The sequence below is a fragment of the Homo sapiens genome, chromosome 4 (genome assembly GCF_000001405.40).
Source record: "Homo sapiens chromosome 4, GRCh38.p14 Primary Assembly".
Taxonomy (NCBI): Eukaryota; Metazoa; Chordata; class Mammalia; order Primates; family Hominidae; genus Homo; species Homo sapiens.
In genome coordinates this window covers 149,231,838-149,246,722 of record NC_000004.12, presented here as the reverse complement: position 1 = coordinate 149,246,722, position 14,885 = coordinate 149,231,838, and the positions used below count along the sequence as shown (strand labels likewise).

Sequence of the window (14,885 nt, the reverse complement as noted above, 5' to 3'; positions counted from 1 at the left end):
CCCCAGTGGTAAGGTTTGTTTGGCAATACCAACAAGGTAAGGGCTTGAAGTCATCATTAACAAGCTGATATTTAGAGCAGTCGTAGCTTAGTAGTTTAAAGAGTAGTTTAAGAGTTCTGTATGTATACCAGTTAGGACTGAATTTGGCTCTTACAACAAACTTGACAAACAAAGGGATAGATAAAACTGGAGATTATCATTCTCAAATAACAAAAAGTTTAGTTGTAGGTATTTCAGGACTGGTTTGATTACTTAAAGATCTTATAAAAAACCTGCACTCCTAATTTCTTGTTATCATTTTGGTTTGCAATATGACTGTTGAACTTATAAGACATCATGTTTGTGTCTCAGCAGGGACAGAGGGTAACGTCTTCTCCTTGTGAGGTTTGTCTTTGTATCTGGGAAGGAAAGCCCTCCTTAGAAACTTATGCTTACATCTTCTTGACCAGGATTATATTGCGGGTATGTCACTTTTAGTGGAAAGGGGAGCTGGGAATTCATATATTTTGCTAACATGTATCAATGTATCGTGGAGAAAGGTGAAGAAGGATAAGGGGGTTGCAATGGGTGTGGAATAAGCTGGCCACAAAGTAGAAAGTGGAAGGGGACAAACTGTAAGAATATCAAGCATAGATATATATATCTCTCTCTCAAAAGATTGACCAAGTTAAACAAAATAGGAACAAATTCACCCCCAAGAAGACCTGGTGATGTTTTATTTGAAAGTGACATGTCATGAAATGTATGTAGTGTAACTTGAATGGGGTAATAATCTGGAGAAAGATACAAAGATGAGTGAAGAAGGCCTGATTTTATATTTTCTTTTCTTAATTTAGAAATACTTTACCTTCCCTGAATTATGTCTGCTTGTTCATCCTTTTTTGTTCTCATATTGTCCAAAACACATGACATTGTACCTTGAGTTCTACATAAAATACTACAAAATTTCTAGGGCAATAAAAGTTCTAATTTGAGCATGCCTCACATGCAGTGTTCACTGATAAGTGAGGATTATCTGAAAACCCACCATAGTATTATTGATTCCATTACTACAAAGCTCAGACTATACTACATTTGTCAGAGCACAAGTATATCCCGTTACAGAGCTAGATATAGAAATAGAAAGTGCAGTAAGACAGGATAGGCCAGCAGATTCTGGGAATTAAGTGAGCATATTCATTGGAGTGGAACAAGTTGCATGTGGGATGGTGCAGGGTGGGGTCAGTAGCTGCAAGCAATTTGAGAAATGCAGACCTAGAGAGTAGTAGTTTTCAAAGTGTGAGCCCTGGACAAGCAATAGCAACTCCTAGGACATTGTTAGAATGCAAATTCTTGGACCCCACTCTAGATAAACTGGATCAAAACATAGAAAAGAACTCTGCAAGAGGTCACATAGACTTGTCTTGGAGTAGAGATTTAGTGAACTTGAAGAGTAGCAAGATGTCACTCCAAGTTAAGCCACTTTGGCATAAGGATAATTTTGGCTGAACGCAATTGAGAAGAAACAGATATAAGAAGTTAGATGCCCTTCCCCAGTTTGATGAAAAATAAGACATAAGTTTGTAAAGATGTCCCTCCTCTTCCCTCTAGCAGGAAGGACAGAAGTTTATAACCAGAGACAACTCTAGACACATATTAGCCCCAAGATGGTAATAGAGGAATCTATACAACAAACACTAGTATCTAGCTCTTATCTCTCATTAATTCCCTCTATATATTTGCATTCCACAATTTTCCATGCCTAGAAGTTCAAAGTTTTTCTCTTTGTCTTGTCACCTTTCTAAAAAGTATTGTTCTTTTGTTGGGAGACTATATAAACTCAAGTTCTAACCAACCCCTTTCAGTAACTCATCTCTGAGTAACATGTGTATATGTGATGCACATGTTAATAAACTTCTGCTTGTTTTTCTTTTGTTAATTTGTCTTTTGTAAGTCTATCTTACAGGGCCCCATCAATGAATCTAAGATGTATAGAGGAAAATATATTATTTTTCCCCCTACAGATTCTAGACCCAGCAGAAAATTTAGCACGAGCTAAATGTTTCATGATTTCTGAGGTGAGTGGAAGGTGGTAAAAAGAACTTGGGTAAAGACCTTATGACTTGGTGTTTGAGACAAAGCCAAAGCTTAATTATTTTGTTCTGAGTGAAGGTTAGAAAAGGACTGCTATTGACATGAAGTCCTTGCCCATGCCTATGTCCTGAATGGTATTGCCTAGGTTTTCTTCTAGGGTTTTTATGGTTTTAGGTCTAACATGTAAGTCTTTAATCCATCTTAAATTAATTTTTGTATAAGGTGTAAGGAAGGGATAAAGTTTCAGCTTTCTACATATGGCTAGCCAGTTTTCCCAGCACCATTTATTAAATAGGGAATCCTTTCCCCATTGCTCCTTTTTGTCAGGTTTGTCAAAGATCAGATAGTTGTAGATATGCAGCATTATTTCTGAGGGCTCTGTTCTGTTCCATTGGTCTATATCTCTGTTTTGGTACCAGTACCATGATGTTTTGGTTACTGTAGCCTTGTAGTATAGTTTGAAGTCAGGTAGCGTGATGCCTCCAGCTTTGTTCTTTTGGCTTAGGATTGACTTGGCAATGCGGGCTCTTTTTTGGTTCTATATGAACTTTAAAGTAGTTTTTTCCAATTCTGTGAAGAAAGTCATTCGTAGCTTGACGGGGATGGCATTGAATCTATAAATTACCTTGGGCAGTATGGCCATTTTCATGATATTGATTCTTCCTACCCATGAGCATGGAATGTTCTTCCATTTGTTTGTATCCTCTTTTATTTCACTGAGCAGTGGTTTGTAGTTCTCCTTGAAGAGGTCCTTCACATCCCCTGTAAGTTGGATTCCTAGGTATTTTATTCTCTTTGAAGCAATTGTGAATAGGAGTTCACTCATGATTTGGCTCTCTGTTTGTCTGTTATTGGTGTATAAGAATGCTTGTGATTTTTGCACATTGATTTTTTATCCTGAAGACTTTGCTGAAGTTGCTTATCAGGTTAAGGAGATTTTGGGCTGAGATGATGGGGTTTTCTAGATATACAATCATATCATCTGCAAACAGGGACAATTTGACTAAAACACCAAAAGCAATGGCAACAAAAGCCAAAATTGACAAATGGGATCTAATTAAACTGAAGAGCTTCTGCACAGCAAAAGAAACTACCATCAGAGTGAACAGGCAACCTACAGAATAACAACCTGAGTAGCATGTGTTATTCAGGTTGGTATACAGAATGGGAGAAAATTTTTGCAACCTACTCATCTGACAAAGGGATAATATCCAAAATCTACAATGAACTCAAACAAATTTACAAGAAAAAAACAAACAACCCCATCAAAAAGTGGGCAAAGGATATGAACAGACACTTCTCAAAAGAAGACATTTATGCAGCCAAAAAACACATGAAAAAATGTTCATCATCACTGGCCATCAGAGAAATGCAAATCAAAACCACAATGAGATACCATCTCACACCAGTTAGAATGGCAATCATTAAAAAGTCAGGAGACAACAGGTGCTGGAGAGGACGTGGAGAAATAGGAACACTTTTCCACTGTTGGTGGGACAATAAACTAGTTCAACAATTGTGGAAATCGGTGTGGCATTTCCTCAGGGATCTAGAACTAGAAATACCATTTGACCCAGCCATCCCATTACTGGATATATACCCAAAGGATTATAAATCATGCTTCTATAAAGACATATGCACACGTATGTTTGTTGCAGCACTATTCACAATAGCAAAGACTTGGAACCAACCCAAATGTCCAACAATGATAGACTGGATTAAGAAAATGTGGCACACATACACCATGGAATACTATGCAGCCATAAAAAATGATGAGTTCATGTCCTTTGTAGGGACATGGATGAAGCTGGAAACCATTATTCTCAGCAAACTATCACAAGGACAAAAAACCAAACACTGCATGTTCTCACTCATAGGTGGGTATTGAACAATGAGAACACACGGACACAGGAAGGGGAACATCACACACCGGGGACTGTTGTGGGGTGGGGGGAAGGGGGAGGGATAGAATTAGGAGATATATCTAATGCTAAATGACGAGTTAATGGGTGCAGCACACCAACATGGCACATGTGTACATATGTAACAAACCTGCACATTGTGTACATGTACCCTAAAACTTAAAGTATAATAATAATAATAATAATAATAAAAGAAAAGAACTGCTATCACTGGTGACTTGCTGCCATTTCCCATGGCCATCTCCTTGAATTTCTCCTCAGACAACGCTGACAGCACAGGAGAACTAGGTAATTAGAGATCAGACCAATTGTATTAGTCTGTTCTCACACTGCTAATAAAGACGTACCACAGACTGGGTAATTTATAAAGGAAAAAGGTTGGGTTAATGGGCTCACAGTTCCACATGGTCAGGGAGGCCTCACAATCATGGTTGAAGGCAAAGGAGAAGCAAAGGCACGTCTTACATGGAGGCAGGCAAGAGAGCTTGTGTAGGGGAGCTCCCATTTATAAAACCATCAGATCTTTTGTGACTTATTCATTATCATAAGAATAGCATGGGAAAAACCTGCCCCCATGATTCAATTACCTCCCATTGGGTCTTTCCCATGACACATGGGGATTATGGGAGTTACAATTCAAGATTTGGGTGGGGACACAGCCAAACCATATGACCAATTAAATTACAATTTCTGAGGGAGGTTCCCAGGCTTTGGTAACCTTAAGAATCTCTTCAGGAGCTTCAGAATGTGCTGCCAAGGTTGAAAACCCTGCCCCAGGAGCCTCTAGGTAACAACTAATGACTTCAGCTTGGGAAAGGAAAGAGCTATGGAGACAGATATGACATTCTAGCAAGGAGCTAATTGACTACCCTTTTCTCATCTGTAAATTGGAGAAAATAATAGTACACTTAGAAGAGTCTCTAGCACAAAATGTTCAACAACATGTATGTGTCCACATTTCTCATGATAAGGTAAGCTTTGTAAGAATGGAAGAATGGGGATTATTTATGACATTCACCCCAGCAGCGAATCCACTATACAGCACACAATCAACAAAGAGTAAATATTTGTTAAATAAACAGATGAGGCCGGGCATGGTGACTCATGCCTGTAATCCCGCACTTTGGGAGGCCGAGGCAGGCAGAACACCTGAGGTCAGGAGTTTGAGACCAACCTGGCCAACATGGTAAAACCCTGTCTCTACTAAAAATGCAAAAATTAGCCGGGAGTGGTGGCATGCACCTGTAATCCCAGCTATTCGGTAGGCTGAGGTAAGAGAATCGCTTGAACCTAGGAGGTGGAGGATGCACTGAGCCAAGATTGCACCATTGCACTCCAGCCTGGTAGACAGAGAGAAACTCCATCTCAAAAACAAACAAACAAAAAACTTGATGAGTATTTCAGTTTCCCAGGGTTTAAGATGAAAGCTAAGCACATTGCCAATATTCTATTTTCACAGAGATGGAGTGAAGGCAGCTGAGTCTAATCAAAAAAGCTGTTTTGTGAGCTTCTTCTTCTTCTTTTTTTTTTTTTTGAGACAGGGTCCCACTCTGTCACCCAGGCTGGAGTGCAATGGCATGATAACAGCTTACTGCAGCCTCGACTTCCTGGGCTCAAGTGATCCTCCCACCTCAGCCTCTCGAGGAACTGGGACCACAAGCATGTGCCACCACACTGAGCAAATATTTTTTATTTTTGCATAGAGACAGGGTTTCACTATATTTCCCAGGCTGGTCTTGAACACTTGGGCTCAAGCAATCATCCCACCTCAGCCTCCATAAATACCAGGATTACAAGCATGAGCCACCATGCCTGTCCCTGTAATTCTTAAAATATATATATTTTAAATCTACAACTGTGCTGTCCATATAGGAGCCACTAGCTGCATATGGCTAATTGAGCACTTGGCACATGCCTAGTCCAAATGGAGATGTGCTGTAAGTATAAAATATGCACAAGATTTTGGAGGCTTAGTATGTAAATATAACATAAAATATCTGATTAATAGCCTAAGCAACATAGTGAGACTCTGTTTCTACAGAAAATAAAAAAAAAATAGCCAGATAGGGAAGTGCAAGCCTCTAGTCCTTGCTTTTCAGGAGGCTTAGGCAGGAGGATTGCTTGAGCTTAAAAGTTTGAGATTGCAGTGACTCATTACCATGTCACTGCACTTCAGCCTGGGTGACAGAGCTAGACCCCATCTCTATAAAAAATTATATATTAAAATTGTAATATTTTGGACATTGAGTTAAATGAAAATACATTATTAAAATTAATTTCTTCTGTTCCTTTTCCTTTTTCAAAATATATTAGGAAATTTTAGATTACATATGTGGCTTGCTCTTTAGGACTGCTTTATATTACTGTTGGATAGTATTGGTCTAGAAGGCAACAATACTATGATGCTTTGACTTTACTTGATGGCTGTGTCACAGGAAACAATTAAGACAAGAAAATCAGCAAGGCCTTGATATTTTGAGTTAGAGCAGCCCAGTTTTTTTTTTTTTTTTTTTTTTTTTTTTTTTTTTTTTGAGACGGAGTCTCGCTCTGTCGCCCAGGTCGGACTGCGGACTGCAGTGGCGCAATCTCGGCTCACTGCAAGCTCCGCTTCCCAGGTTCACGCCATTCTCCTGCCTCAGCCTCCCGAGTAGCTGGGACTACAGGCGCCCGCCACCGCGCCCGGGTAATTTTTTTTTTGTATTTTTAGTAGAGACGGGGTTTCACCTTGTTAGCCAGGATGGTCTCGATCTCCTGACCTCATGATCCACCCGCCTCGGCCTCCCAAAGTGCTGGGATTACAGGCGTGAGCCACCGCGCCCGGCCTAGAGCAGCCCAGTTTTAACCATAGCCGATTATAGGGAAATTACAAGCAAAAGATATGAAGACACTTAATAAAGCAAAGCAGAAGGCTTTATGAAGTCAGTCATCCAATCTTAGATAACCCTTTCCTGGAAAGCGGTTTTTGTCTAACCTGAGTTTAGTGTCCCCCTACGTGAATATATTAGGCCTGTTATCCATTACAGGCCTTTGGTTAGGAATTATTGACTACATATTGTTTCTCTGAAACATCTGCATCAACACTGTTATTTTAACATCTGTGTTTCTTCATCTGTTTATAATCATGGCAATATTCTTCACAAAATTTGCTTTTTGCTCTTTAAAGATTTTTTACTAAATAAAAGTTTGCCAATGTATTAGATGCATTGATATGTTATCAATGAAACTTCCCCTTTCTGTCCAGGCACTTAAAGTACCAGGCCCTTTTTCGATTGGATTGCTGATGAAGACGAGTGTGTGAGTGTGTGCCTTGCATGCAAACAGACAAATGAAAAAATAATATAAAGTATTATCTAATTCATTATTTTTTGAATCCCTCCTTATCATTGATGATTGTAGGTTTTTAAATTAGTATTAAATTAATTGAGCTGAGGAAGTAATAACATGCTTTTAAAATCATGGTATGTTAGACATTGATAAAATAAGCTTTAAAAATGTATTATGAAAAGAACCTAGTTCTCTCCCCACCCCCACTTTGTAGGTAATAGAAAATGAGACAGTGTTAATAACAATCTAATGCTCAATAACAGCAAAGAGAGGCAACATATCATTATCCATCTGCAATAGAATTATCATTCAGGAAGACTTCTATAATGAGACATATATCCATCTCTCTGTTCATTCTATTCATGGACAAGAAGTCTTGTGCATTCTTAAGTACTTGAAACTTGCTGTCAAAGATCTTTTTAGATTAAGCAAATAATGTGCTTTGAAATACAAGTGATGAACTTGGGGAATTTGATTTTTCTCTCAGATACATAGTAGAAATCTGTGCTTTTAGACTAAAAAGTAAAATGACATAATTTCATGGTCTTATATTCTTCAAGATATGCTATTGATTACTCCATTTTTGAATTGGCTCTGCTCCCTAATAGTTCACTCTTCCATTTTAGTCACTCCTTATTGACTGTTCCTTCTCTGTGTTCTCTAAGGAATTTAAATTTTATGCCAAACTCAAGGAGAACACCATGAAAATTTGACATCACCACGATGTGAAGTAGGGTGAAACCAGAATCCAGCTGACAAACAATGAAGGTCTAAACTTAAAAAGCTGGAGGTAACACAGAGAAAGGGGGATAGATTCCACAAATATTAAGAAAGCCTAACTTTCTTCCATTTCTATCGTGACAGATTGGATATCCTAAACAACCCTATTGAAGACGATAACTAATAATTTAGGCAACATTTTAAAATAATGAAAAAGACAAATTTTAGTATACAACGGAAATGGCAAACACACACACACAACCATACACACACACACACACACACACACTCACACACACCCCTACACACAAAGGATGGAACCAATAGAGGACAAAAAATGAAGTGAAAGTAGGAACTCTGAGAGATCAGCCAGTGCCTAAGCCACTCTGATGACTTCTACAAAACTCTAGTGACCTTGAGTTTTAGTTTCACTGACTACAACATATGTGAAACTTACAGCCTAGAGCAGACAAAAATATAGACTCCGATAAAACTCCCTCACATAAATCTGGGGAACAACAGGACTATATCCTCAGTGTCAGGGTGCCCTGCGGAAGAGGCCAGCAAGGAATCTTGCCTATCTTAATTTTATTGCTACAAGAATATGAAAAATTTACCCCTGAGATATCACAATGCAATCCTTTTATTATGTAAGGCTGTAGCACAAATTCATATCAGCTCAGATAAAGTGACTCCAAATTGGTGGTACTTCTGCAAACAAGGAGAAGCAAACTCAATTCCTCTTTAGAAGATGTAACCTCAGACCAGGCATAAAAGAATATTCACATAAAAAGTTTTAAGGAACCTGAGTTCATAAAGCCATAAACAAAACGAGGATACATGCTCCATGTTGTCAGCAAAAACAATAGAAGGTAGCATCAAACCCACAATGATATTTAAATTGTAAGACAGAGTAAAAATTAATTATCACTAATAGATTTTAACTAATAAAAGAGGAAATTAAATATATGAACAAAGAATGAGCATATAGAACTTACCAATGAAATTTGAAAAATAATAATCAGAAAAAAATTCTGTGCATAAAAACAATAATGACAATTTTAACTCAATAAATAAGTTAAACTATATATTAAACTCAGTTGAAGAGAGAATTAAGGAATTCTGTGAGAAGTTAGAAGAAGTTATCCAAAAAGTAGCCCAGAAAGATATATTTGTTGTCTATAAAGAAATAATCAGAATAAGAAAATGATACTATGTAGAAAATACTACTCAGTTATGGAAAGACAATATGGGAAGCACAGAGTAAGAAAGTAGAAATAAACTTAGAAAGTAATAACAAAAATGTAAACAAATTAAACTCTTAAAAGACAAAGATTGTCAATTATATTTTTTATAATACATTGAGTTAAGTGTGCTTTACTAAGGAAACTCCAAAAATATAAAAATGCCAAAGGATTGAAGATAAAATATAAAAAGTTGTGAGGCAAATACTAATCATAGTGTCTCAAAATCTATAAGGCAAAAATGTTCCAAATTAGAAGCTAAACTTGACAAAGTTATAAATTTTCATGTCTTGTTTTAGGAGCAGATTTAAATTATAAATGATCACAGGTGAAAAAGAGAATTAATGTTCGAGAATAAATAATCAAGCAGACAAAAAATCAGCAAGGATATATGACTTCAAAGAGTTTGATGAGCAAGCTCAACTAATGGATACATGAAATATTATACTAGGCTGGGCACAGTGGCTCCTTCCTATCATCCCAGCACTTTGGGATGCTGAGGTGGGCAGATCAGTTGAGGCCAAAAGTTCGAGACCAGCCTGGCCAACATGGTGAAACCATGTATCTACTAAAAATACAAAAACTTAGCCAGGCGTGGTAGCACACACCTGTAATCCCAGCTACTTGGGAGACTGAGGCACGAGAATCACTTGAACCTGGGAGGCAAAAGTTGTAGTGAGCCAAGATTTCACCACTGCACTCCAGCTGGGCAACAGAGAAAGATTCTGTCAAAAACAAAACAAAACAAAACAAAACAAAACAAAACAAAACAAAAAAACCTATACTTGATGCATAGAAAACACACTTTTTTCAAACACATATCGTATATTTAGGAAAACTGACCATAACCTAGGCAATAAATCAGTCTCAATAAATGTCCCAGAATTTGACAAACAACAATGTAAGATACAAGAATGCTATGTTTTCAAAAAATGCATAAAACTATTTGATAAAATTCAATAACAAAAAGATGACCAGGAAAGATGCTTATATTGAAATTAAAAAATCACATGGATATGCAATTCTTATTAAAGAAAAATACTGAAAATTGGGAAATATTTAAAACTAGTTTTAATGAGAAAACCTCATATCAAAATCTTTGGTATGCAGCTAACAGTGTACATAGAGGGAAATGTAGACTTACACTTAAGCGCTAACATTTTTAAAAGAAAGTCTAAGTATTGAAAAATAAAATACCCAAATTAAGAAGTTACAAGAGGAAAAGAGAAGAGTTTATCTGCCAAAAATAGAAAATGCAAATAAAAGCACAAATAAATGACAAGGAAAATAAACCCGTAATGGAGCAGATCAACAAATTTAAGAGTTGAGTCTTTGAAAACACTAAGAACAGATAAAAACAATGGCAAGATTAATGAAAAAAAAAGAAGAAAAGAAAATACAAACAACATGGACATAAATTGAGTTTATATTTAAAGATACAAATTTGAAGGATCATTACAAGACTTGCCAATAATATAAATGCAATTTAGAAAGTCAACAAAACCTTAAAAGTTGAGTACAAGAAAGAAAATTATAGACCAATCTTTTTCATGAACACAAGTACAAAAATATTCAATTACAATGGCTTTCATTTATATAATACCAAATGTCAAGCATGAATCTAAGGACTTTACTTACATAAACTCACTTAATCATCAAAGCAACCCTATGAAGTAGGTACAAGTATTGTGCTCAATTTACAAATAAGAAGACTGAGACACAGCGAGAAACTTGGTCAAGGTCATACATTAAGTTGCAATGCTGTAATTCAAATTCTGCCAGTTTTGCTCTAGGGTCTACTAAAAAGGCTGTCAAAAACAAGTTTTGGCAAGATGCAGAAGTATTGGCATGCTCATGCATTGCTGGTGGGAATGAAAAATAATATAATTTTTTAGAAAATAATCTGGCCATATCTTATACACATTCACCTTCCCGATGACTCAGGAATTCTACTCCAGGTACTTTCCCAAAAGAAACAAAACATATGTCCAGAAAAGATATGGGGGCTACAAGGTTCAAAATAGCAGCTTCATTCATAATTGCCCTAAAATGGAAACAACCCAATGCCATAACCAGGTGATTATAATAAAATTGCAATATATTCATATGATAGAATACTTAGCAAGAAAAAGAACAAACTACTGATGTACACAACTTGAATAAAAATGCCAGACACCAAAGATTTTATTTACATATATGTTGCAATTTGTATCAAATTCTAGGATAGGCAAAACTAAGATACGGCGATTGAAATCAGAGCAGCCTCTAGCATAAGGAGATGAATTGGAAAGGGACATGAGGAAATGTACTAGTTTTTTGATGCTGTATAACAAAGTACCACAAACTTAGTGACTTAAACAACATCCATTTATTATTTTACAGTTTCTGTAGGTCAGAAGTCTAAGTATGGCATAGCTGGGTCTTCTGCCAAGGGTTGACAAAGTGTTAGCTAGAGCTGCAGTCTCACCTGGAGTCCAAGGTCCTTGTCCAGGTTCTTGTTGTTGCAGGAACAATTTAGTTCCTCACATCTGTAGAACTGAAGTCCATGTTTCTTACTGACTTTCAGATAGAAGTCACACTCTAAATGCCTAAAGTTACCCTCATTTCCTAATCACAGGGACCCTTCTATAGGCAGTTCACAACAAGCCTGATTATTTTTTTATGAATCAGAAGTATGTCCGCTGCTGCTGGCAAGGATGTGGAGAAGTAGGAATGCTTTTACACTGTTGGTGGGAGTGTCAGCCATTGTGGAAGACAATGTGGTGATTCCTCAAGGATCTAGAACCAGAAATACCATTTGACCCAGCAATCCCATTGCTGGGTATATACCCAAAGGATTATAAATCACGCTACTATAAAGACGTATGTTTTTTGCACACGTATGTTTATTGTAGCACATTTACAATAGCAAAGACTTGTAACCTACCCAAATGCCCATCAATGATAGACTGGATAAAGATAATATGGCACATATACACCACGGAATACTATGCAGCCATAAAAATGACTTTACGTCCTTTGCAGGGACATGGACAAAGGTGGAAACCATCATCCTCAGCAAACTAACACAGGAACAGAAAACCAAACACTTCATGTTCTCATTCATAAGTGGGGGTTGAACAATGAGAACACCTGGACACAGGGAGGGGAACATAACACACTTAGGGCCTGTCGTGGGGTGGGGGGTAAGGGGAGGGAGAGAATTAGGACAAATACCTAATGCATGGGGGGCTTAAAACCTAAATGACAGTTTGATAGGTGCAGCAAACTACCATGGCACATATATACCTATGTAACAAACCTGCATGTTCAGCACATGTATCCCAGAACTTAAAATAAAATAAAATAAAATAAAATAAAATAAAATAAAATAAAAATAAAAGCTACCTAATTACAGTAGGCTCATCCTTTTTATTGAAATCGACTGACTAGGGACATTAATTATAACTGCAGAATCTCTTTGTCTATATAACAAAGCATAATAAAGGGAGTGATATTTCATCATATTTGCAGACCTTACCCACATTTGAGGGAGGGAATCATATAGGGTGTGAACCCTAGAGACTAGGAAATTTGGGGGTCATCTAAGAATTCTTCCTACCACATGGAATTTATTGGGGTCTGTACACATTTATCAAAACTGATTAATCTCCACATTTAAAATCTGTATGCTATGTTATATTTAAAATATACTTCAATAATAATAATAATAATGACATAGAATAAACATTATATTTAATGATAAAATATTGAAAGCTTGTTGCCTGATCTGGAAGAAGAAAAGATTTTTCTATCACCAATTCTATTTAACATTGTACTCATGTGCAGGCAACCATCTTGGTCCTATACTTCATCTTCAGGAGACATTGGAGATGGGGAGAAAAACTGACACAAATATGTTGAAACTCATGTTGCTTTTTCTTATTTATTATACTTTAAGTTCTAGGGTACATGTGCCCAACATGCACGTTTGTTCCATAGGTATACATGTGCCATGTTGGTTTACTGCACCCATCAACTCGTCATTGACATTAGGTAATTCTCCTAACGCTATCCCTCCCCCAGCCCCCCACCCCACAAACAAGACCCAGTGTGTGATGTTCCAGTGTAAAAGCGTTCCTATTTCTCCACATCCCCTCCAGCATCTGTTGTTTCCTGACTTTTTAATGATCGCCATTCACACTGGTGAGAGATGGTATCTCATTGTGGTTTTGATTTGCATTTCTCTGATGACAGTGATGATGAGCTTTTTTTCATATGTCTCTTGGCTGCATAAATGTCTTTTTTTTGAGAAGTGTCTGTTGATATCCTTTGCCCGCTTTTTGATGGCATTGTTTGTCTTTTTTCTTTTAAATTTGTTTAAGTTCTTTGTAGATTCTGGATATTAGCCCTTTGTCAGATGGACAGATTGCAAATATTTTCTTTGATTCTGTAGGTTGCCTGTTCACTCTGATGATAGTTTCTTTTACTGTGCAAAAGCTCTATAGTTTAATTAGATCCCATTTGTCTATGTTGGCTTTTGTTGCCATTACTTTCAGTGTTTCACTCATGAAGTCTTTACCCATGCCTATGTCCTGCATGGTATTGCGTAGGTTTTCTTCTACGGCTTTTACGGATTTAGGACTTATATTTAAGTCTTTAATCCATCTTGAGTTAATTTTTGTATAAGGTGTAAGGAAGGGATCCAGTCTCAGCTTTCTACATATGGCTAGCCAGTTTTCCCAGCACCATTTATTAAATAGGGAATCTCTTCCCCATTGCTTTTTTTTGTCAGGTTTGTCAAAGATCAGATGGTTGAAGATGTGTGGCATTATTTCTGAGGCCTCTGTTCTATTCCTTTGGTCTATATAACTGTTTTGGTACCAGTACCATGTTGTTTTGGTTACTGTAGCCTTGAAGTGTAGTTTGAAGTCAGGTAGTGTGATGCCTCCAGCTTTGTTCTCTTTGCTCAGGATTATCTTGGCTATGCAGGCTCTTTTTTGGTTCCATATGACATTGAAAATCGTTTTTTCCAATTCTGTGAAGAAATTCAGTGGTAGCTTGATGGGGATAGCATTGAATCTATAAATTACTTTGGGCAGTATGACTATTTTCATGATATTGGTTCTTCCTATCCATGAGCATGAAATGTTCTTCCATTTGTTTGTGTCCTCTTTTATTTCATTGAGCAGTGGTTTGTAGTTCTCCTTGAAGAGGTCCTTCACATCCCCTGTAAGTTGGATTCCTAGGTATTTTATTCTCTTTGTAGTAATTGTGAATGGGAGTTCACTCATGATTTGGCTCTCTGTTTGTCTCTTATTGGTGTATAGGAATGCTTGTGATTTTTGTTCATTGATTTTATATCCTGAGACTTTGCTGAATTTGCTTATCAGCTTAACGAGATTTGGAGCTGAGACAATGGTGTGTTCTAAATATACAGTCATGTTGTCTGCAACATGACTTCCTCTTTTCCTAATTGAATACCCTTTATTTCTTTCTCTTGCCTGACAGCCCTGGCCAGAACTTCCAATACTATGTTCAATAGGAGTGGTGAGAGAGGGCATCCTTGTCTTGTGCAGGTTTCCAAAGGAAATTCTTCCAGGTTTGTCCAATCAGTATGATA

At 37.1% G+C, this 14,885-nt stretch overlaps 1 long non-coding RNA gene across 1 annotated transcript in view; it reads right to left on the bottom strand.

The window, feature by feature from the left end:
- LINC02355 (long intergenic non-protein coding RNA 2355) overlaps positions 1 to 14,885 on the bottom strand; it is a 123,829-nt gene that overhangs the window by 31,401 nt on the left and 77,543 nt on the right. The window lies entirely within an intron of this gene.